General features: G+C 37.8%; 1 protein-coding gene across 3 annotated transcripts in view; it reads left to right on the top strand.

Annotated features, from left to right (window-relative positions):
• The window catches only part of RSPO2 (R-spondin 2), a 184,305-nt gene that overhangs the window by 103,102 nt on the left and 54,850 nt on the right, over window positions 1-26,353 (top strand). For 2 of the 3 annotated variants that reach the window (NM_178565.5, NM_001317942.2), the window contains 2 exons: window positions 19,702-19,845; window positions 22,251-22,439. In NM_178565.5, the coding sequence (NP_848660.3) occupies window positions 19,702-19,845; window positions 22,251-22,439 (333 nt within the window). The remainder of the gene's footprint in view (window positions 1-19,701; window positions 19,846-22,250; window positions 22,440-26,353) is intronic. The other variant, NM_001282863.2, reaches the window with a different exon arrangement.

Raw genomic sequence — 26,353 nt, 5'->3', positions numbered from 1 at the left:
TTAGGTTTAATCTTTATCAAACCAGCACATGAATAAGGGCTACATTTTAGAAGCCTATAATATTCTTTAATTTTGGAATACAGGCAGTGCTGGAATTAAGAAAGCCTGGTGAAAACAGCCACTTGCATGGTTTTCCCAACAGTATTAGTAGGTATTTATCTGATAAGGAAAGAGAGGGGAAGACTGTAATTTAGGGGATGGCTTAGCCTGCTTAATACAGCTTACACATTTAGCAAACATTTACTGCTGATATACTAGGCAGGGCCAATGTGTGTTTTTATTAAAAAAAAAATGGAATGGAATTGAATGTGCTAAGAACTGTGAGGGTGACACACTGGCTGCTCAGGGAACCCATGGGGCATCAGCTGACTTGCCCTTGGAGATGGGTGAGTCTTCAGATTTTCCGAAGAGTGTGTTATAAAACTATCTTGAAAGAGGAGTAGGGTGAGTAAGAGTAAGAGGGTAAAGGGTACTCATAGCAGAGAGTCACTTGAGCATTGGAATGCAAAATGTGAGAAATGAAATCTTGGAAGCTGAGGATGGAGGATTCATAAGCTGGGAAGACATATAATGCTCTTGTTGTAGAATGTCATCTGATGTCACCAGGGGAAATAGGTTGAGCAGAGAGCCAGAGAGGAGGCACAGAGACCAATTAGGAAGCTGTTGCTGTAATCCCAGGCCAGAAACCGGGACTTCAGCTAAGGCAGTGGTACTTGAGGTGGGGAGGAAGAGACAGATTCAAGAGATTAGAAGATAGAACCAGCAGAAGGTGGTTCATTGGACACAAGGGTAAGAGAGGGAAGAGACCTCAATGACTCACAGATTTCTGCCTTTTTTTTTTTAATTATTATTTAAGTTTTAGGGTACATGTGCACAACGTGCAGGTTTGTTACATATGTATACATGTGCCATGTTGTGCTGCACCCATTAACTTGTCATTTAGCATTAGTATCTCCTAATGCTATCCCTCCCCCTTCCCGCTACCCCACAACAGTCCCCAGTGTGTGATGTTCCCCTTCCTGTGTCCAGGTGTTCTCATTGTTCAATTCCCACCTATGAGTGAGAACACACGGTGTTTGGTTTTTGGTCCTTGTGATAGTTTGCTGAGAATGATGGTTTCCAGCTTCATCCATGTCCCTACAAAGGACATGAACTCATCCTTTTTTATGGCTGCATAGTATTCCATGGTGTATATGTGCCACATTTTCTTAATCCAGTCTATCATTGTTGGACATTTGGGTTGTTTCCAAGTCTTTGCTACTGTGAATAGTGCCTCAATAAACATACGTGTGCACGTGTCTTTATAGCAGCATGATTTATAATCCTTTGGGTATATACCCAGTAATGAGATGGCTAGGTCAAATGGTATTTCTAGTTCTAGATCCCTGAGGAATCACCACACTGACTTCCACAATGGTTGAACTAGTTTACAGTCCCACCAACAATGTAAAAGTGTTCCTATTTCTCCACATCCTCTCCAGCACCTGTTGTTTCCTGACTTTTTAATGATTGCCATTCTAACTGGTGTGAGATGGTATCTCATTGTGGTTTTGATTTGCATTTCTCTGACGGCCAGTGATGATGAGCATTTTTTCATGTGTTTTTTGGCTGCATAAATGTCTTCTTTTGAGAAGTGTCTGTTCATATCCTTTGCCCACTTTTTGATGGGGTTGTTTGTTTTTTTCTGGTAAATTTGTTTGAGTTCATTGTAGATTGTGGATATTAGCCCTTTGTCAGATGAGTAGGTTGCAAAAATTTTCTCCCATTTTTTAGGTTGCCTGTTCACTCTGATGGTGGTTTCTTTTGCTGTGCAGAAGCTCTTTAGTTTAATTAGATTCCATTTGTCAATTTTGGCTTTTGTTGCCATTGCTTTTGGTGTTTTAGACATGAAGTCCTTGCCCTTGCCTATGTCCTGAGTGGTATTGCCTAGGTTTTCTTCTAGGGTTTTTATGGTTTTAGGTCTAACATGTAAGTCTTTAATCCATCTTGAATTAATTTTTGTATAAGGTGTAAGGAAGGGATCCAGTTTCAGCTTTCTGCATATGGCTAGCCAGTTTTCCCAGCAACCATTTATTAAATAGGGAATCCTTTCCCCATTTCTTCTTTTTTTGTTGCCCAGGCTAGAGTGCAATGGCATGATCTTGGCTCACTGCAATCTCTGCCTCCTGGGTTCAATCAATTCTCCTGCCTCGGCCTCCCAAGTAGCTGGGATTACAGATGCCAACCACCATGCCCGGCTAATTTTTGTGTTTTTATTAGAGACGGTTTTCACCATGTTGGCCAGGCTGGTCTCAAACTCCTGACCTGGGGTGATCTGCCCGCCTCGGCTTCCCAAAGTGCTGGGATTACAGGCATGTGCTACCATGCCCAGCCAGGTTTCTGCTTTTAAGAATTGTATAAATACTGGTTTATTGGATATTATTATTGATTTATTGGGATTATTGGATATTATTATTGATTTTGGTTTTGATTGATAGATAGCAAAAGGAGTTCAGGTTTAGAAATGTTGACTTGAGATGACACAGTTGCATAGAGATGTGCATTGGAGAGTCGGATACCTGAGTCTGTTTTAGATAAAAGCCAGTTAGGATCTAGTATCTCCTTGCTCTCCTGTCACATCTGACGATCCTATTAATACTGATCAAAAATACTGATCACAGGTACAGATGTTACCAGGAATATTTATTATGCTTAAATGCTTACCAGGATGCTAATATATGGTTAAACCTGAATCTGGTGGGAGTGAAACTGCTACATCATCTACCTGTGGCAAAGATATGTGATACCTCCAGTAGTCCTTCAAACAGAGGGCCATATATTGGGAAAATTATTTTCCTCTACAGTGAATGGCAAACAGGACCACCCCACACAAATTTGTATAGTTTTTTTACGTAGGTGTCTGTCTCTCTCAGACCCACTCCCCCAAACTTTAGCTATGTTTTTTATTGGTCATGACCCTTTCTCTTCTACTGACTGTGTATTTTAATCATTATCCCATCTCCATCATTCCCAAAGATGGGAGTTGTTCATTGTTGACACATACTGCTTTGAAACCTCTTCATATTAGAATGAAGTGGTTCTCAAAGTGTGCATCAGAACCACCTGTTAAAACACAGATTGCAAGATTGCACCGCCAGAGTTTCTGATTCAGTAGATCTGAGATGGAGCCCGAGAATTTGCATTTTTAACAAGTTCACAGGTGTGGCTGACCCGACTGGCTCAAAGACTACACTTTAAGAATCACTGCTACCGTGTAATAATTATGTCACTAGTTATGGAATAGAAGACTTCATATTTAATGGAAGACGAGTTTCAGTACCTTCTAAGCATATGAGGATATTATGAGGAAATGTATATTTCTCCCCACTTCTCTCATTCACACATACCTGTTTATGGGCTGTACTGATCATGAGCTGATCATGATAGAATGTGTTAGAATATGCTGGCTTTTGGGACAGCCTTTCACTATACTTGTCTCTCCCCTTCCCTAACTTTTTTCTCTGCCTCCCACACTTTCTCATACCATGTTTCTTCCTTCTCTAAGATTTTCACTACTTTATGTGTTCTGGCACATGCATTTTAATTTGTAATTGTGTCTTGTATCTTAGAACTAATTTATTCTATTGATTTTTGTTGATAAAGTTCTGATTGAACTATAGCTTCTACATGAATAGAATCATTTTAAAGCTTTATTTTGTGCAATAGTTTAAAAGAAAGGAAGAGGAGGGGAGTGTTTGTAGACAGGAGAACAGGGATCATGGTGGACTGTGCAGCCAGACTCCCTTCTTGCTCAGTCCACAACTGGCTTCCAGGTTAGAGGTTGGACAGGTGCCTTAAATTACTCTTTAACAATGAGTGAACTACATAATCTGAGCCCCAGTGTCCTCATGTCTAAAAATTAGCAGAGACTGTGAGATCATTGCTCTAACATTCTGTGGTTCTGTGAATGCTTCCAGAAGTTACTGCCTTTTGACATTCCAGACCAGCCTGTCTCCTCAAACTGCAGATAGAAATGGCCATTCTAATACTCTCCTAAGAATCCTATGATATAGTTAAACATTACATTCTACTCTATAGTATTTGTAAACATTTACATTGCACATTTGCACTCTGACAAGCTCAGAGAGGTTTACAAACCTACCCAAAGGACACACAGTATGGAGAGCTAAGAACAGGATCTAGGATTCTCTCTAACTCTAATGCCCATGTTTCTTTAATTAAACCATGCAGCTTCTCTTGGAGAAAACAAAGTAAAAATGCATCATTTGGTCCAGTTCAACTGCCCATCATAAAAAAGAAATACATCATTGGATAGGGTTAGGATTTTTTCCCCTTTGGCAGAGGGTGAGGCAGGTAGGTCTTCACTTTGAAGTGGTACACTTTCAGCATTCTTTTGTGCTGGTTTCTTTTCCAAATTGAAAAGGGACCTTTCCTACAGCCCAGTCTGCAGAAGGCACTTCATGGGTTAACAGGCTCCTGCCAGCTGGAGAAAGCTCATTGCCCTGAAGTGGCTTTACATCACTATGCAGGAGTGGCTACCAGCTGGTTAATACCCTGGCCGTCACTTGATGGGGTGGACACCCTACTATCCACTTATTAGAAGACAGCTGGATACTATTACATGCCAAATCTCTCAGTTCTTTTATGCTTTCTCCTGAAGAAAACCCATCTTTGCAAGACAGCTGGCTATATTTGGATGTACCTATGACTGGGATAAAACCGTATATCTAGAAAATCTCACAATTGTCAATTGATTTTAGTTTTGGGAGATTATATAAAAAATGTGACCTCACCAGGGCCACAGTTTAGTTGAGGCCAGCCAGTCAAGGCCTTGGCATCTCATAAGTTCTCAGTACATATTAATTGAATGATTAAAATGTCCCAGGTGGCATGGGGTCCCTAAGAGTAGGAGCAAGGGCTCACTATATTAGTTGCTCTTTTGTGCCAGATACTATGTCGTGGCTTACTACTTATAAACACTTATTTAGCACTTTGGGGGCTAAGTCCTTTCAATGAGTTATTCAGTAGATACATGACTACCAGAGGCAAGTGAACTGAGGCGTAGAGAAGTTAAATAGTTCAATGAAAGTCAATTAGTATGTAGCGGAGATAATACTAGAGTGTGTGTGTGGCTGATGACATCCTATGTTTGTTGTTACTGAACTGTAAGTTTCCTGGAATGCTTTTCAGTTTTGTTCCACAGATCACTATAAATTTGTGGAAGAGAAAAACTGTAAATTGAAACTATTTTTACATTTAATGAAGGCATTCCTATTTATTAACTACTTTTAGCATTTAAAGTCATGTAAAGATAAATGAATCTCTTGATCACAAGATACTAAATATGAATTATCTAGGAAGGTGGTGGTACAGTGGAACAACCTGATAGGCCACTATTTATCATGGGACAGCCCTTTTCAATGTCTTTGTTATTGTTTCAGTGAGCTAGTGTGGACAGTGATAATCAGGTGGTTCTTTTATTTAATAGGAAATAATTGACAATGTACCAAATCTCTGCATTCTGTAGATTGAATTCAGATGAAGATAAGCAGTAACTTACTGCATCGGTTAAAGAAAAGAACAGTACACTTCAAATAATTCTTAAAGGAGAGTATGTCTTGTTCAATTAACAAACACTTTCACTGATTAACCTGTGTGTGTGTGTGTGTGTATGTGTATGTGTGTGTTCACAATCCTGCATGACCTTTGTCAGGTAGATGTTCCTTTAAACTAATTAAAAATTATATACATAGATCTGGAAGAGACTTAATTATATTTTCTTCTTCTTCCCCCCTCCCTGCTTTTTCCTCTCCCCTCTCTCCCTGTCTCTCTCCCTCCCACCTCTCTTCCCTCAACAAATGTGGATACTGAACATTACAAAGGTAGTATTTCTCCAAAGTCACATAATTACTCAGTAGCAGAGTGGCCTTGACATCTAAGAATACTGATATTGCACTGGTGTCAAAGTCTTTCTCTCTTTCTCTGTCTCTTTCTTTCTTTTGGTTAAGACAAGGTCTCACTCTGTTGCCCAGACTGGAGTGCAGTGGCACAATTTCAGCTCACTGTAGCCTCGACCTCTCAGGCTCAACCCATCCTCCTATCTCTCAGCCTCCCGAGTAACTGGCACTACAGGTGCGTGCCACCATGCCCAGCTAATTTTTCTTTTCTTTTTCTTTTTTTCTTTTTTTTTTTTTTGTAGAGATGAAGTATCGTCACATAGCCCAGGCTGGTCTCAAACTCCTGGGCTAATGTGACCCTCCTGCCTCGGCCTCCCAAAGTGTTGGAATTACTGGCATAAGCCGCTGCACCTGACCAGAATGCTCTTTTCATTGTATAGTCCTTGCTCCTTGGTATGTGCAGAGGATCAGTTCTGGGACCACCCTGGAACAGTTAGACCTGCGGAATTCAAATATGAAGTTGGCACCCCTGTAGGCAGGTTACCCATTCAGCAAATACAGTATTTTCAATGCATGTTTGTTTGAGGATGTGGAATGAGCCAATACAGAGGGCTTACAGTATTTATTGAAAAATCTTCATATGAGTTGTAAACCAAACAGTGACTGAGGCAGGTCTCAATCGATTTAGAGGTTTATTTTGCCAAGATTGAGGACGCATTTAGGAAAGGAAAACACAAGTTACAGTAGAATCTGCGGCTTATGCTTTTTCCAAAGAGGGTTTTGAGGACTTCAATATTTAAAGAGTAAAGAGCAAACAGGAAGGGAAGAAGATGGGGGGAAAAAAGGAAGGGATGGGCAGTAAGGCAAGTAGTTATATTCTTGCAAGGCTTTGAATAGTGCTCAGTGAATCTATACCTTTCAGGGGCTGGAGAAAAAGTCAAGTATGCATTTGTTTCACTCTCAGTAAATCTGCATTTTACATCAGATAAAGTCAGCATGTGAAATTATGGCTGTTTTAGAACAACGGGAGGCAGTTTTCTTTTTTTTGTTTGCTTGTTCTGTGTGTGTGTGTGTGTGTGTGTGTGTGTGAGTGTGTGTCTGTGTGTGTCTGTGTGTGTATCACTCAGTTCCCAAGCTTTACTTTCCCTTTGGCATAGTGAGTTTGGAGTTCTGAGATTCTTTTTTCTTTCATAAAGCAGACCGATATAGGTCAAACCTGCATTGTGCAAGGGTCAACTGTACCTTAAACCATGTAATACAGACAAAACTGACAAAACCGTTATGCAGTTATAAATGCAAATATTAGAAAAATCTGAATTTCCTTGGCTAGTTCCCCCCCCATTTTTTTTTTTGAGATGGAGTCTCGCTGTGTTGCTGAGGCTGGAGTGCAGTGGCGTGATCTCGGCTCACTGCAAACTCTGCCTCCCGGGTTCACGCCATACTCCTGGCTCAGCCTCCTGGGTAGCTGAGACTACAGGTGCCTGCCACCATGCCCAGCTAATTTTTTGTATTTTTAGTAGAGATGAGGTTTCACCGTGTTAGCCAGGATGGTCTCGATCTCCTGACCTTGTGATCCACTTGCCTCAGCCTCCCAAAGTGCTGGGATTACAGGCGTGAGCCACCGCACTCGGCCGCCAGCTTTTTCTTAAACAAATGGTCAGTTTAAGTGTTTCAAATCCCATTAAAAATATCAAAACATTCAATTTTATCTTCTGAAAGGATTATGGTAAATCCTATCTCTAAAAGAACACTGGATTGGAAGAAATGGTGGGCTCTGATTTGAGCTCTGACAGTAACTAGCTTTGTAAGCTTAGACAAATGATGTAACACACTCTGGAATAATAGCATCCTAGTAACTTGGGTCTATGAAAACATCTCAGTAAAAGAGTAATATCTGATGTTGGCAGTTTCTTTTTACAGTATTGATCACCTTATGACTTTCTGTGTATTCTAAGTCTAGTTTAATGTTCAGTCTCTCCCTCCCACCCTTATTTCTGCTTGGTTTATGGTTAAGGACTGTGCATACCTTTTGTTTCTTAAAGGCAAAACATGAGACATAAAAGCTTTAACATGATATTTAGTAATTTGGTGCCTAATTTGAAAATGTAGCTCTGCATAATCTGAAGTATTTTTGTTTGTTACAGAATTATGCTATTACACTAAAATATACAAAATGGGCTGGGCACAGTGGCTCACATATATAATCCCAGCACTTTGGGAGGCCAAGGAGGGTGGATCACTGGAGGTCAGGAGTTCGAGACCTGCCTGGCCAATGTGATGAAACGCCATCTCTACAAAAAGGACAAAAATTATCCAGACATGGTGGCAGGCACCTGTAATCCCAGCTACTTGGGAGGCTGAGGCATGAGAATCACTTGAACCTGGGAGGCAGAGGTTGCAGTGAGCTGAGATTGCACTACTGCACTCCATCCCGGGTGACAGAGTGAGACTCTGTCTCAAAAAAAAAAAAGACTGTGTTTATTCTAAACTGATAGAAACTTAGCATTAAATTTGTTAATTCAGCAGATACATCTATCATCATCTGTCATGTCAGGCCCCCATGCTGAGATCTAAGAATACAGACTAGCATAAGACAGGCTCTGTTTTCTACATTTAATAGGAGGATTATGATGGACAGAGTGGTAAAACCATGAGGGAAGAACTATCATAGGTATCTGGGTGTTGGGAGGGCAGAGGATGTTTTCAAGAAACTTCACACATATAACTGAGCATGACTAAGGTGAAAGGTACATGTGGAGTTGAGGCTAAGAAGGTAGATAGACATGCCTAGCAAGAAAGATCTTGTATTTTAAAATCAAGGGTTTGTACTTGATTCTGCAAGTGAAGGTGAGCCATTGAAGCATTTTAAAGTAGGGAAATGACGTGAAAAATGTGTGTTTTTGAAAGATCACAGTGTTCTCTTGTAGCTGCAATAAAGCAATCTTAATTTTGTCATTGTGATCTGTAGCACCTGTATGGATACACCATCAAAGATTTCAGTAGGCCAGATCAGGGATGATATTAACAACTTCAGTAATGGTTATTCACCTGCACAGTGCACTGTTTAATGTACTGGTCCACAGTTGCAATGCAGTAGCTGCCTGTTGTGAGACGTAAACCCTGTTTTAATTCTATTCCATTACCCTTTATGGAAAACTCAAAGGGCATTCTTTCTCCTAATTTGTCCTGGAAGATAGATTATATCAAACTGATACTCTAAAAGCTAGAATAAACATTTTTCTCTCTGTGAGAAAGTTGGCTATATGATTTTTGATACTCTTTACAAAACATTTTACTTTTATTTTTAGTAATGGTACTAATGGTTGGAAAATAAAAGTCGTGACTTTCCGTTTAATAGAGGTAATTGTATTTTTCAAGCTTACATTTGTTTCTTGTGGATTTGGTAGTTCTTGTAAGTGAGCCTATTATTTCAACATAGGCCCAAGTTAGGCAACATCGTTCTATTATTATATTTCCAGGGCAGAAGCCACCTTGTGCTGTTTTTATGTAAATAAAACATACACCTAGTGCTTTAGTTTTTAAAATACTTTCACCTGCATCTTCTTAACCGCATCTGGAAATCCTGCGAGGCAGTTAATATCCTCATTTACAAAGCAGGTAACATGCATTCTGATAAGTCCACTGACTGGCCCGAAGGTTGCCTGCCACTGCGTGGTACAACCAAGACTGTATCTACTTTTATCATCAAACTAGATGGGCATACATGACAAAGCCACCCTCACAAACAGAGCAATTAAAAATATCAAACTACAGGACTGGACATAAATGTCAAGCTAGTTTCAGCCCAAACATATGGCTTCGTAAAATTCTTCTCTCTTCCTTCCTTTCCAACCAGCAACTTCGTTCAAAAGTCAGTGCCACAGCAAGCAAGAAATTAAAAACTTATTAAAATAGAATGGAATATTGACCCACAGACAACTGATCAGGAGTTGTCATTCTTGATTTATCAATACAGTGTGAATAAAGTTAAAAATATTGAAATGAAAGTATTCCCATGTCAACTGAATTCCAGCATCCTCATGCTTATCTGATATTTGTCTTATGCCCACAGCCAGATGGTATATGGAAGACATCACTATGCCTCCCCAAGCTTCAATGCTACCATTTGGTGTTTTCAAAATAAAACTCTTTATTTTCTTTTCCTTTTTTCTATCAAGGTACCCCAGGGATTTCAGTAATTCTCTAGCCTAGGGGTCAGCAAACTATGACCCAAGGGCAAAATTTGGACTGCTATCTTTTTGTTAGGGCCCTTAAGCTAAGAATAGCTTGCAGATTTTTAAGTCATTGAGATTTTAAGACAAAAAAATGAAAGAACAATATTTTGTGACACACGAAAATGATATTAACTTTTAAATGTCAATGTTCATAAAGTTTTTTTGGAAAACATCCATGTTGAATCATTTACATATTGTCTGTGGCTGCATTTTGTGTTATGACAGACATGAGTTGTTTAGACAGATACCGTATGGTCTGCAAAGCCTAAAATATTTATTATCTGGCTCATTATAGGAAAAGTTTGCTCTAGCCTATTTGGAGTATAAAGAGATTAAGGTATTCTTCTTGTTTTCCTTGGATGGGGGTTGAGTGGAGGGCACCACATATATTAGCTTACATATGCTTTTCCATTTAGTTGGGTGGAGAGATCTGCATTTTCCAACATTTGGAAAAATCCAACTAAGATGCAGGTCTGAAGCTGATTAAACCGCTCTACTTCTACTGTAATATAAAAGGGTGACAAGTTACCAAAAAAGGAAAAGCACAAGAAGTAACCAAGATGAGAGTTCTAATAATGGCAGGAATTTAAAATCTGATATGAGATACTAATTTGGTTTACAATTTTTGAAACTTTTCATTACTATCACATTCCTTTGCTATTTTATTTTGAGGTAGTTGTCCTTCTCCCACTGTTTCACACCTTCACCATGGGAAAAAAATTCTCTTTAAGCATTTAACGTTCTTAGCAAATGTGTTCATTTTAATTTCATTTGTTTTGAGAATGATTTCAAATATGCATCACTTGAATATATGAGAAATAAAGCCAGTATTTTCAGAGTTCCTCGTTATTTGACCACATAATTTTACACAAGCCTCCACGTTTCTTCATATTTTTTCTATGTGGGTGGGCAAGATATAACATTTAAACATTCAAATATCACAGTGAAGCTACTAGCAGCATATTGCAAAAGTTTGAATTTGGAGTTTTTAAAAAGTGAACTGTTGTGACACTTCAAGTTAAATACTTTTCCCTGATACATTTTTTGACAGCATATATGTCCTCGGCAGTTAAAATAAAAGATACTATGGCATGTAAGATAGAACTCTATAGCTATCTGAAAAACAGTATGTAAATTTCTAGATAGAAATTTATTCTGCCTAATTGGAACTTGAGGATTTAAATCACAGCCTACGTCAGGATTTTATTGTATGATATAGGTAAGTCAGGTATTTCCCCCTTTTTATCTGATGGTTAAGGGAGTAGGGCACAAAGAGAATGTGATTTCTACCATCTGTCCCCACACCCCAGGTCAAAATTGCCTTTAGATCTTGGTTTCCTAACTCCTGGTTCCTAATGTTCAAAGCAGATGATTTTCCATGTAGGTACCCAACAAATGATTGTGATCAGTTTGTTAAGCTGTGTGACCTAAACAAGGGTGAAGCCACTAAGTGTACTCTAGACAGTGGGTAATGCCCTTTATTGGGTAATGCCCTTTGAGTAGTGCATATGTATATATTTATTTATTAAAACTACATATATACAGTTTATTAAAATTATATCTATTTTTTCCATGTGGAGTATCCTATTTGAGCTTCCTTCCATTCACCATCTTGGGCTGCAATCCTTTTGTCCTAGTTGTTAGATTAAAATGTATTTTATTATTTATATTTAATAGTTGTATGTATTTTTAGGAGTACATGTGATATTTTGATATCTGTATACCATGTGAAATGAATAAATCAGAGTAATTAGGATATCCGTCACCTCAAACATTTATTTTTTTTGTGTTGGGAACATTACAATTCTTCTATTTTGAAATATATAATAAATGATTACTAACTATAGTTTTTCCTACTGTACTATTGAATACTAGAACTTATTCCTTCCATCTAACTATATGATTGTAGCCCTTCACTAACTTCTCTTCATCCCCTTCCGTTCTCAGTCTCTGGTAACCACCATTCTACTCTCTATCTCCATGAGATCTACTTTTTTAGCTCCCACAGGTGAATGAAAATATTTGATATTTGTCTTTCTGTGCCTGGCTTATTTCACTTAACATAATGTCCCCCAGTTCCATCCATGCACTGGAAATGACAGGATTTCATTCTAGTTTTATAGCTGAATAACATTCTATTGTGTGTATATACATAAAATATTTTCTTTATCCTTTCATCCATTGGTGGGCACTCAGGTTAATTCCATATCTTGGCTATTATAAATAGTGCTGCAATAAACATGAAAGTGAAGATATCTCTTTGATATATTGATTTCCCCTCTTTTGGATATATACTCAGCAGTGGGATTGCTGGATCACATTGGTAGTAAATTTTTATACTTATAAAAGCTCACTTTTAATAACTAATTACACAGCAGGTACTGTGCTGAGATCTTTGCACTGATTAAGCCTCTGAATCCTCTCAAAAAGCCTGTAAGATAGAGACTGATAATACCTTTAAAAAAATACATGAGGACATTAAGACAAAGAGAGCTTCACTGACTTGACCACAGTCACACAATAGTAAGTGGTCCAAGATTCTAACCTCAGATCTGCTAACCACTGTACTATTTGAGTGGCCACTATATTCTCCACATAGTTCTTATTTCCTGCCCCTTGCTCTTATTCTAAGTGTCCTGTTCTGCATTTGACATAGTTGAATTTTATCCTATACCAACTATCTGAACTAATTAAGGCAATCTTGATTTAAACTCATTCTACTGGGTTATAAACAGACTTTAACCCTGTATCTTCTGTTAATTTAGTAATGCTGGTTCTCTGTGTCATCATTCAAAGAGTTTAATTGTAAATATAAAACATTGAGTCCTGAAACTTCTGGATTCATCTTTTATTTAGGTTGAAATATAATGAAGTTCTAATGAGCTGTGTGTTACTTGACTGTATTACAAAAAAATGTAATTTTAGCTTTTAGGTATAATAATTTTTATCAATACATAGTCTAGTGGAATTACTGTAATGGTACATATTAGAAATGCATGATTTTGATAACATAAAGCTTAAAACTTGGGATATTTATAACCCCATTGCAAGTTTTGAGAGGAAATGTTAAATAGTACTTGAAATTGTTAGATAAGCCTAAAACTAATTTTTAAAAACCTTATATTAAGTTCCATAGTCTAGTGCTTTCCATGTGAAAATTTGCTGAAAGTCTAATTTTGAATGTTTTGGGAACAAACTGTGCCTTTAATTTCTATTCATATTTTAGCACGCAGTGGGCAGAGAAATCTCTAGAGGTTTCTAGAGGTTGGCTTGATGTTCTTTGATCCTTTCATCTACTATGTGGGGACTAAATAAATGCCCTGTTTTTGTCATTGACTGCCACATTCTGAACAGAGATGCTAGTTTAAAATAAGAGCAGTTGGAGCAACAAGCAATTGGATTTTCATGGTGTGCTAAGGCAGTCTGAAGTCCACAGCCCTGATGGGCATGAAGAAATAAGAGAACATAGATTCCCAGGGGTGTTTGAGGTTCCTTCTACTTTATTGACTTCTTCCCTTTCTCCAATAATTGATTGTAATATATATAATTACATTTTGACAGCTAGATTTAACAAAGGTTGATGTTTCTCTGCTTTTAAGGATTTACTTTTCTCATTTATCTGATTGACCATGCTGAGATATTCAATTAAGAGATGATTCTTGTCATCTTAATTTAGCTGGGAAGAGAAACAAAAGGAACTCTGTCCATTTGCCAAGTGCCCTGAAAGCACTGTTGAGACCAAAGGAAGAGAGGATAGTTGCATGATCTTTGGCTTCTCTCAGTTTTCCATCTTCTCTTCCACTTGGTTTGTCACTTTTATGGATTCATTATAACTCCACTCCCCGGATTGTTGAGCCTACCAATGGTTTTCCTGACCTCTACTGTCTTCTGCTTTCAGGAAGGTTAACTTTCTGAAAACGTTCACTCTCCAGCTCGCTGTGTCTTTACGTCAAGCTTAGAGTAGTCATTTATTCCCTAATTGCCTCTCTGTAGAGCTTTCCCCTCAGTGGACTGAAGATCCTGAGGTGTAAGGACCTTGTTTTCTCATCTGTGCTTCTATGTACCTGTCAGGATGGTTGGCCCATAGGGACTGTTACCTGTCTCAATGAGGAAACATGGTGATGTTATGCTCATGGCCAGAATCTACAGGGACTACTCACTGCTAGTCAGACCAAACCCCTAATCTTGAACTGAGCTTCATTTTTATTAATACTAATTATTACTTAAATACTTAAAGCCACTCAAAGTATGAATAATTTATAATCCCCACCCAAAGCTTCTAAACCCAAGTAACCATCCCATAGCCTAACCTCCTTTTCCTCCAAGCCACTCCTCACTGGACCCGTCACTTGCCATATGGATTTTCTCTATTGCCTCATGATGAGGGCAGCCACCCTTGCCAGGACTCTGCTTCTTCTTGTCTCCCTAAAACTTGCTCATTTGAAGTTCCAACTTATAGCACACATCACCCGCCTTCCTTTGATAGTTACATTCTCCAGTATAATTGTTTTCAGGTGTTTAACTGTTGGTTCTTCCATATGATTTGCAGTTCTTTACAACAAGTATGGCTTTTTAATATTAGAAATACAGTGCATGTGCAATCAGTCTCTCACTAAGCATGCAAATATTACAGAAATTGAATTTTTGAATGGCATTCATGTTCATTTACTTAGCAAGCATTAAAACTCCACCATGTTTCCAATACTGTGTTAGGAATGGGGAATTCACAGATTGGAAAAAAAAAAAACTTGAATGGCAGGACAGAAATTGGTCCCTTTTCTGTCTCTAATGTACCCAAGACATGCCTCTAATATCTCCTGTTACATTGTGATGCTCTGTTAGTGCCACGTGGACCCCTCTGGCTTAGCACCTCCAGGATAGGGAATGGGTTTAGGTTCTTAGGGTCTGGCATATACTAGGTTCCTGGAGAATGTTGAGAATGAACTGTTGAGCTGGACTACAGTGTGATTTGAAAAATGTTATATTAGAGCCCGTACGGGGTACTGTAAGAGGATAGGAGAGAGGGTGCTCAGCCTATTTTTCTGTTTCTTGGCCAAGGTTAAGCCCTTCTTGCCAAATGACAGCCCCATCAGACTGTATTTGGATGCAGTTTCACTTGGACAGTAATTTTACTTAAACCAATATTGGCAGTCCTCATTCGGTGGGTTACATTTTTGAGGAGGCACTGTAATTTAGAAGCATGTAAGTTGGCTGAACTAGGGTCTTTTATTTGAACGAGGACTTAAAACCCATATTTTTATAGAAAAGTCCTATGTTTAGTAAATTTTAATATACCTATTATGTAGCATACAGTTTTCTAAGGTTTAACAATCTATTGTGTGATCCTACTGGTGTTTTAATGGTGACTAACTCATTTATAAGATTTACATAGAGGTTTTCTAAAGTGTATGGAAGAAACTGTTAACACAGTGGCTATTTCTGGGGAGTAGGCCTAATGTGCCATTCAGGTGAGAAAAAGGATTTCTATTTTTTCCTGTAAAACTTCTGTACTGCTTTGAGTTTTTACTTATAATGAGAATGTTTTACTTTTATATAAAAATGAGTTAATAGAGTTGATATGAATCCCAGTGAAGGGTAAAATGCTTAAGTAGTTTTTGGAAAATGGCTACAAGCTGGGGGAGAAAATATAGGACTATGAGACTGCACAGGAGTTCCCCCCACCCCCTGCAAAGCAGAAGAGTTACCTCCTGGAGAAATGGCTGAACAGAGCAGGGGGTTGTAGTTGGATCTGGAGCTGCTGAGGAAAGGTCATCAAGGGCTGTGAAGCACATCAAGTAGGAGACCTCCTGGATTAGGTGGCTTGTGGTGCTGCTTGCTTTCAAAAATATTGGGTTTGGCCAGGCATGGTGGCTCACACACTTTGGGAGGCTGAGGCGGGTGGATCACCTGAGGTCGGGACTTTGAGACCAGCCTGACCAACATGGTGAAACCCCGTCTCTACTAAAAATACAAAATTAGCTGGGCATGGTGGCGCATGATGCCTGTAATCTCAGCTACTGGGACGCTGAGGCAGGAGAATCACTTGAACCCGGGAGGCAGAGGTCGCAGTGAGCCGAGATTGTGCCATTGCACTCCTGCCTGGGCAACAAGAGCGAAATTCTGTCTCTAAATGAATGAATGAATGAATGAACGAATGAATGCATAAAAAATATTGGGTTTGTAGGTGTTTGTGAGCAGATGAGCTCTGTCAGTGCAGGCTGCTGAATGCATGGGCCACCTGCACTGGTTTTATGCAGTGGCAAAGAGCAAATGAGGCCAAGATGGTCAGCATAGCTTCAGGTGCTAGGACTTGGCACTGATCAAAGCTTTTAAAACAATGCTTTATTACACAGACAATATTTTATTTAGTTTTTTCCCCTTACAATTTGAGTGAAGGAAAAGCAACACTATTGAACATGTGAAAACAAAGGATACGGAGATGGCTAAATGAAGGTGTATGTTGAAGGTTATAGCAGGTTCAACATTATTAAATCAGGGGTATAATTCATGCACTCAAATATGAAAAAGTTTTAGATTGGATAGATGCCTTTATTCTTGCCTGTTAAAATCAAAAGAGCTTAATTTTACAATGTTAATGAAGTGGCACTTTTTTGAGTAAACTTAAGTAGGTCACAAATACATATTGTAATAACCTTTTCTATGATACTTTAATTACATAAATGTAATTATAAAGGATATGATTCAGAAAAATAACATATTTCAAAATTCTACTATCCCCTCCCCAAATTAACTTCCGTAAGCTACTTCATACCCATGAACACACGCACACATACGTAGTTTTATTGTGTCATACTATATATATCTTGCAACCTGCCTTTTTTTTTTTTTTTTTTTTTTTTTTTTGAGACAGGTCTCACTTCATTGCCTAAGCTAGAGTGCAGTGGTGCAAACACAGCTCACTGCAGCCTTGACTTTCTGGGCTCAAGTGATCCTCCTGCTTCAGCCCCCAGGTAGCTGGGACCAACAGGCACATACCACCATGCCCAGCTAATTTCTTAGAGATGGGGTTTTACCATGTTGCCTAGGCTGAACTTGAACTCCTGAGCTCAAGTGATGCATTGCCTTGGCCTCCCAAAGTGTTGGAATTACAGATGTGAGCTACCATGCCCAGCCAACTTGTCTTTTTTTTTTTTTAACTTAACAATGGGTTTTTCAGGTCATTACTTATACTTCACCTTGTACTTTTAAATGGTTATAGTTTTCTACAATTTGAACATATCATATTTATATTCTACTTGAATTTGAGAACAAATAATTAAGCTTTCATCCAACATGATTTATACCTGAAGAAGTCCTCAGGGACTTTACAGAGCATGATAGGTATTTCAGCAATTCCATATTCTATGAACTGGTATTGGGAGCATGGAATGAAATGAGGAAAGGGAGCTACAAGTAACAATAAAGATCAGCAAAGGGCCTGGTAAAATTAATTCCAAATGCTTATTGCTATAACTTTTTGGCCAAAAAGCTTATTGGTGTGGCTTTATTTTAAAGAGAAGTCAGACCTCATAGATGATAGCTGATTTATGAAGTGTAAAGTCCTCTTTTTCTCTTTAAGTAGAAGAGCTTTTTTTTTTCATCTTCACCCTTTAGTTCTGTTTTATCCTTTGGAATGCTCATTACTATTTCTTGGAAAATAACTACGGCAGGAAGGGCTGCTTGTTTTTTAAAAAAATATAGCAAGAAAACTAACAATTTGTGGACATAATGGTCATGTAGTTTGACCATGATTAAGAGGTTATTGACCAGCTATGGACCATGGTTTTATTAAAATATAGGTTACAGCATGTAAGACTACAAATGAACCTTTTATGGGGTGATAAACTGTTCTGTGCTTACCATTTCCCTCCCCACCAAAGGAGCAGTAGTGTAGATTTGTATGTGGACTTTGACCCACACATATTTGGTGTTCTGTTTATAAATTTGGTAACATTTTAGAAGTTGCATTAGCTGCTTCATAGTGGTCATTTAATACAAAGAAGCCTGTTTAGACTCAAAATTGAAAGGCAAAGAGTTGGCATTTTTAATAGGTCTAGACACAGTTATTTCTTATGTGATCTATTTTAATGAAATTTGTTTTTAGCCTTTAAATTTAGCCTTTAAATCACTGAAATCTTCAGTGATTTAACATTTTGGCTACATTTTTTTTTTACCCCTTTATCGCTTTGCTTATAGGAACTATATGTCTTAAAGCTTTTCTGAATCCTTAAAGCATGAAGTATAGTTCTGGAGCCTTGTAAAATGAATACATGTGATGTCACAGAGTTTTCATAGCACTTTACGTGCTGTCAATTGCGTCGGTTAAAACTGTTACAAGTAATAATGTACCACAATCTGTTGAAAACTTGACCTTGGAATTTACCGGTCCTGCGAACTTCTCTCCTTTACTTTCCTTGAAGAGTAGTTAAGAGTGTATTTATTTTCACCTGTGCATGCCAAGGATTTCTGGCCCAGATGTTCTGGCCTACCAGGGAATGTGATCTAGAATACAAGCTTATAAATTATTGCTTCTTTTTATACCTTATTGTAATGTATGTGGTTTAGTGGAAAAATACATGTTTCTAATTCACTGTGGCTTCTATCTGCAGACTACCTATTATGAGCCTATCAATTTACATATATTATTACAAAACCTTACAATAGTTTTGTAAGGTCAGTGATGCCCCTGTTTAATACAGGAGGCAATAGAGGCTCAGAGAGGCATATAGTTGTCTAAAGTTACAGAGCTGGTAAGGGCAGAGCTTGGTATTCACACCCAGATGTAACAGACCTGAAAGCACATCTGTTTCACAAACTCCTAGTGGACTGCAGTGAGCGAGTTATAGAGAGAAAGAGAATGGATTTAAAAGGCAGATGGTTTTGGTGGCTTTCAGAACCAATTCAGCTGTTACTCTGTTAGTCCCAGGTTTCTTATTTGCAAAATGGAGTTTCTACTGCCCAGCTGTAGGATTATTGTGAAGATTCAGTGGAAATATATGTAAAGCCTTTGATACATTGTAGGTTTTCAACAAAATGACCTAAACTTCCACCCCCATGCCCCACCCAGGTCACCCTCTGATGAATGTAGGTGCTAGCATTGACCAGTGCCCTGTAAAATAGACCATGCATTTTAAAACATTTTAAAAATTAAAATTCTTAACTCATTTACTATACACAAACACTTATTACAGTGTTCCCATTGTAGGCCTTTTGAGGGCAGGACAGATTTCAATACTGGCAGCAAGTAATTTGTAGAGGGAGTGTTTTCTTTGTCTTTTGAATTTTTTGTTTTAATCCCATCTGGAGATTACCAACATGTCCAAAAGTTCTCATGGTGCCTGGGACCCTGGGCTGGCATTCTCTCTTGGATTCTTGATGTAGTAAGCTGTTGAAAGAGACAGGGATGACTTAGAATGAGATGGCGCTAGGAAACAAATGAGTTAAACAATATTTCTCTGATGATGAGAATTTCAAATGGGCTAACTTGTGAGTTTACAAAAATTTTATTTGTAAAACAAGTAAATTTCTTTGACTGAAATTTTCTTTTTTCTCTTTAAAATTGTTTTTAGGATGCAGAATAGAAAACTGTGATTCTTGCTTTAGCAAAGACTTTTGTACCAAGTGCAAAGTAGGCTTTTATTTGCATAGAGGCCGTTGCTTTGATGAATGTCCAGATGGTTTTGCACCATTAGAAGAAACCATGGAATGTGTGGGTGAGTAGTTTTTAATGTAACTCTCAATCTGCAACTTTTATTTTAGCACTTGTTTCTTAAAAATATGCATGCTGGATATATTTAAACTAAGAAACAAATTGGTTCTCTTGTTCAGTAGAACTGAAAATTAAGTTCTTTGCTGATTTTAAGCATCATGACAATTGGATAGTCTCATATCTTGCTGTAAAATTTGCTAGTTGTGCATTTGCTAGGTTAATCTACTTAAGTGCTAACAAGGTTTTTTTTTAATCATCCGTGTAATACATCAATTTCTTAATAGATTATTAGTAACTGTTAGAGAAAAACATTTTGTTCAGAAGAGAAGTTTTAAGCACTACCACATCAGCTAGCTACTCTATTGCTCCTGCTATGTGTGGATATTACAGAACTGCTTGCTTAGCTGTTTGTTTAAAAAAAAAAACTTGAAAAGAAATTCTTTGTGCCATATTTTGTTGATTATATGTTACAAATGCATTAAAACAATTACTAAATTTATATACCTGGAATGCATAATTTGATATATATACTATTTGTGAAAATAGTAACACATTTTATAAATTTTATATCTTCTGAGAGTTGGTAAAATACCTTGGCATTCTTATATCACCATTTGAAAGGTAAAGATCTGTCAGTGGCTACATTATGATGAATCTCTTAATCTAATCATGGATGTATTGTCATGCCCCCTCCCCAGAATTTCATTTGATGTTATATATCTGATATGATATACAACACAGCTATGTATTAGACTTTACTTCCCTTAAAATGGAGACTTAGAAGAAAAGTTGACATTTTTCTATGAAAATATTGCTGAAGTAGTCTGTAATTGTGTATTTGAGAGCTTGCAAAGAAGACATTTAAACAAGTGGTTTTTGAAGAAATGTGTGCATTTATGTTTCTACTTATGTGTGAGTTAATACATTTTATAGGCACCACTATTAAAATAAGAAAGTCACTAGAAGAACATATTCAGAATGTTGAATTTGCTTTTGAGAGGCAGGACACACACATTACACATGTTTAGTGGAAACGCTGAAATCCTTAACTATAAGCATATTATAAATAGAGTCTTATGCATTCCCTGAATAAAAAATCTTAAATGTCTTTGAAAAGTCTAAGAAGCAGCTGTGATACCCACTGATGTCTAGAAGATGGAAATATTAATTGTATGCAGACTCTGGACCTGAGCCCTCATCCACTAGCATGAAGAGGAGTTTTAACGGTGAAGTTGATGAGGAGGTTTAGCTTTGTATACCCTTATCCTTTTACTTCCTCCTCTCCCTCCCCTGGGAGTTGGGGGGTAGCCTATTTTCCACTATGTGGACTTAACATAGGAGATGCTAAAGTTTTTACGTATGTAGTAAAAACATACATTTTCAAATGACTGATCACATTTGTTTACTTTTCAAACTGTAGTAATGTACAACGCCAATGTGGGGAATAAGAACTGTGGTCTCCAGAAACCTGTTGAAAGAACAGAAAAAATCAGAAAATGCAAAGCAAGCTCCCCATCTTTTTCACCAAGTGCTTCCCAACTAAAACACATTTGTGGGTTTGGTGGAGGCAAATTTAGAACTAGCCTGTAAAATTTTGTCTTCTGTCATGACAGGAAATAGTGTCTTCTACTTTAGGTTTTAGCTGTTGACTCTTTTAAAAATTACACATTTTAGTGTCATTAGAACTATTCATAATAGCAAAGACATGGGATCAATCTAAATGTTCATCACTGATAGACTGCATAAAGAAAATGTGGTACATATATACCATCAAATCCTATGCAGCCATAAAAAAGAACGAGATCAAGTCCCCTGCAGGGACATGGATGGAACTGGAAGCCATTATGCTCAGCAAACTAGTGCAGGAACAGAAAGCCAAACACCGCACGTTCTCACTTATAAGTGGGAGCTGAATGATGGGAACACATGGGCACATGGCGGGAAACAACACACACTAGGTCCTGTAAGAATGGGGGCGATGCGGGGAGGGAGAGCATCAGGAAGAATAGATAATGGATGCTGGGCTTAATACCTGGGTGATGGGTTGATCTGTGCAGCAAACCACCATGGCACATGTTTACCTATGTAACAAACCTGCACATCCTGCACATGTATTCCTGAACTTAAAAGTTGAAGGAAAAAACAGAACTGACCAATAGCATCCTTCAAAAACTGAACTAAGACAAATGGAAAGTAACAGCTTTTTTTTGATAGAAATATCTTATGGTTCAAAAAATTAAAGTTCCCAAAAGGTGAGTATAGGTCTTCAAGGCTGTACCACTTAATTTTTGGTATCTGAAGGTGGGGTTAGTGAAGGAACACTGCTCTGTAAATTTGATGACAGTGAAGCAAATGGATACTAACTTATGTGCTTGTGTTTTTTTTTCTTTTTCTAAAAATCTTTACTAGAAGGATGTGAAGTTGGTCATTGGAGCGAATGGGGAACTTGTAGCAGAAATAATCGCACATGTGGATTTAAATGGGGTCTGGAAACCAGAACACGGCAAATTGTTAAAAAGCCAGTGAAAGACACAATACTGTGTCCAACCATTGCTGAATCCAGGAGATGCAAGATGACAATGAGGCATTGTCCAGGAGGTAGGTGTGGATATAATCACTACTGTGTGCTGTGTGCTTCCTGAATTCTCCCGCTTCCTAACCACCTTCCCTTCCAAAAATAAGTATTTATCTTTGAAGGAAACCCAATAATATTGGTGAGGGGATAAAGTTTTGTTGTACTTATTTAAAAACAAATGCTTCAGTTGTGAAAAATATGAAGTGCATATTTTATTACTTTCATAATATCTTAAACATAACTTAGGAGAGTACCTTAGTAATGAGCTTTCTAAAATGAGATTTCTAAATGTGTTTTGGTGGCTTTTTCTGCAAATGTACCATAAAAGCGGGTTCTTACGAAATCAGGCCTTCGCAGATGTTGCTCTGAGGGAAGCGGCCAACTTTCAGTTGAGAAGAGTTTAGATTAGAAAGGTTTATGGAGTCTGTAAAATCATCTGTATCATTACTAGTTGAAGATGACAACTTAAAATAAACTTGCCCAAACACTGAGAGGAATAAACATTGTCTTAATGTTACCACAATTAGCCGTTTCTCTTTGTTTTGATAATAATTTGTAGAAAACAGCTACTGGTATGTGTGTGTTTATTCAAATCTTTGTAGTAATTGTGCTGATTTGCAGTAATTATTCTGTAATAACAGGATTAGGCCCATTTAGAAATTGGAAGAGCACATAGCTGAGGTGACTGGCCGATGCAGAATCAGTAAGTTGAAATGTGGGTCTGAGCCCTGTCACTGTGCTGTCCCTAAAGCAGTAATCACTGGGTTACATTTATTTTATCACTAGCGGATGCTACAATGTCATTCGCTCAAAATAGAAGAGCAAAAAAGAAAGTTGTGTTTGGAAAACTGCTCTGTAAAAGAATCATAACTTTTGTTTGCCTTCATTCTTTCTGTGGGTGCATAGCTTTTCAGCTTTATGACCATAGCCCAGAAAGAGAATATATAACTGCTTAAAACAGGTTTATATCCGTGTTATGCTGCCTCATAGAGAATGTCTATGATCCATGGAGAAAGACAATACTTTTAAGACTCGAAGACTCCAGTCGGCCTTTGAGAACTATTAGATCCAGATTCAGAAGCTACTATTAGGAAAGCAGCTTTTCCTCTTGAATTAGTTTTGCTTTTCCTTACTGGATCTTTGAAACAAAGTTTTTTTAGGTCTGCTTTTCACTAACAAGGATGGTTTTGTTCACTTAAACTAGGTATTTTTCAGTCAAAATATAAGAAAATGTTTTCTTACAAAACTAATAAGCCACTTCTTGGATAGCTGAGAGCATTTAACCTGCAACCTTCTCCCTAAAAACAAACTTGATGTATTCAGGTATTGGAAATAAAGACTTTCTTTGTTGTATATTGTTTACATAACTAGCCCCTCCCCCATTCCTCTTCCAGCAATGTGGTCCCCCAATTGTGGTTTACATTAATAGAAAAAATTAAACTGAAAATGCTCCTATAACAAACATGCTCATGTGTAACAAGAGGCAACACATTTCCCTCCCCTCCAAAACTCTTTATTTTGACCTAGCCACAGTCTGGCTTGAGAATTTTCTAGATTACAGCTAGATTGTTAACCATAATATTTATTGCATTTGTATTTTTATGTTATCAACAACAACATACTGTCTTAGTTGAATACAACTTGATACTGTCAGCAATTTAAGTTACGCCAAAACAAATGCTTATGTATCATCTGCTAATATTCTCTTTTTGACAAGCCAGTAACAGACTGATTTAATTCTTACTGAAGTTTTACCAAGTTTTACTTATTAGGAAAGACTAGCTATAGCTCTAATTCTTGTGTCTACATTTTCAGTTTAATAAAATCAATTTTATATAACCTTTAAATAGGTTTTCAAAGTTATATCATTTTTTACTATTTTATTGAAAGGAAACTAAATATAATTGTTGAGAGAAATGGCAAATTATTCTGTAATAAGGTTACTTATATTTAAAAATGTAGGAAATGAAAACTACAAAATTAGCTTTGTAACTTGAGCACCGATTGATAAAAATTGGCGTAACTTCCAGGGGAGTATCCTACCTTGCCTCAGGTGAGAGAGAGAAAAGTTCCTTTCTTCAATAGGTCATGGCGACTAGTGGAAGAATGGAGAAGAAAGCCACTTTATCCCTTTTTACATCTTGATTTGATTTCAGTGATCTGCTTTGACAAACCATGCAAAAATGTAAGTCGTAATCAGGTTGGGAATACAGGCATTTTTAAGATCTTTGCAACATATGTATGGATTTTTCTCCTGTTGAAGCCAATCTTAACCTGATTGCACACAAACGCAGCCTTAAGCTCCTTCACACTAAAGCAGCAGCACATTAAAATCAGCTGCTTCTGATTACTGAAAGGCATAAGTTAGAGGTCAGTGTAATGCTATAGTCATCACTATGCATATAAGATATTACACTGAAAACTATTAAATATGAAAACATAAATGGCTTTAAGAGTTTTTTTTAAAAAACAGTGTAATGCTTAGCCTAGTTTTTCCTTAACTGTTATATGCTTATTTGCTTTCTTTTTTTAAAAAAAATCAAATAATATCTGGAAATATCTTTAGTAGATCAAATTACACTTGAAATACTCAGTCTTCATTCCCAAACTTTTCCTTTAGATCAGTTGTCTTGTTTTTTCATTTTTGATAGCATAACCTGTAAGGTTTCTTGGGCTTTTCCAACAATCATTCTTCAGGGTCCTGGTCTGGAGTTATCTGGGTCCCTACATCGTGTCAACTTGTTAATTCAGTGAGCCCTGACAAGTCACTTAACCTCTCTTGGCCTCCATTTCCTCATGTGTAAAATTGAGGATTTAGGGGGGGATAGGTGATCTCTGAGGTCCTGTTCTGTTCTAAAATCTGATGATTCTAGGATTAATTGCCAAAAGTTGCAGGCAAGTTCTGTGGCTGTCATATGAAGGTGAGGAAGAGACTTGGAAGGCCAGGAGTGTAGTTTCACAATGAAGGATCTGAACACTTTCCCAGTAGCTGCCCCCTGCATTTGCCAAGCCTTCCACATCCAGCAGCTTTCAGCTTCCTACTTCAGGGAGGACTCTGCTTGGTCCTTCAAAGACTAACCAAGATTCTTTTTAAATCTGTACATGACCTGTGACTTAGCTACCAATATAGCAGACTGATTTATGGCGAATGACAGAAGAGAAAAGGGTGCATAAAAGACCATGGAAAAAAGAGAGGCCAGGCGCAATGGCTCACGCCTGTAATCCCAGCATTTTGGGAGGCCAAGACAGGCAGATCAAGAGGTCAATAAATCGAGACCATCCTGGCCAACATGGTGAAACCCCGCCTCTACTAAAAATACAAAAATTAGCTGGGCATGGTGGTGGGTGCCTGTAGTCCCAGCTACTCAGGAGGCTGAGGCAGGAGAGTGGCTTGAACCCCGGAGGTGGAAGTTGCATTGAGCCAAGATCGTGCCACTGCACTCCAGCCTGGTGACAGAGCAGGACTCCGTCTCAAAATAAATAAATAAATAAATAAAATAAATAAATAAATAAAAGATGGACAATGAAAGGAAAAAATATTGAACACTGAGTATAGGAAACAAGTGGAAAAAAAGAGTGAATGACTTGAAAATGAAAGCTGTACCCATGGCAGATATAACTGTCTCCACTCCCTTTGCCCTCTCCCTGAGTATACTAATTAAGAAAATCATGTTGGGACCAATTTATGAATATATAACCTGAAGCTTTAAGTGGAAAGAATTTCAAGTCTGGGCCATGTTGTACATTAGGGAATATCTTAATACAAAAGTATAAACATGCTTTTTGTCATATATTTAAATGACACATGGAAGAACAAATTTGTGATTGCTAAGGTATTATGTTGGAGGATGTTCATGTACAAGACAAAATGTCATCTGTAGGTGGCTGTGGTCTTCTATTCTTTCACAGGAGGATTGACCAACATCATGATCTCAAT

This window comes from Homo sapiens, chromosome 8 (genome assembly GCF_000001405.40).
Source record: "Homo sapiens chromosome 8, GRCh38.p14 Primary Assembly".
Classification (NCBI taxonomy): domain Eukaryota; kingdom Metazoa; phylum Chordata; class Mammalia; order Primates; family Hominidae; genus Homo; species Homo sapiens.
The sequence above is the reverse complement of the archived record's forward strand: the minus strand, read 5'-3'. Positions and strand labels throughout refer to the sequence as shown.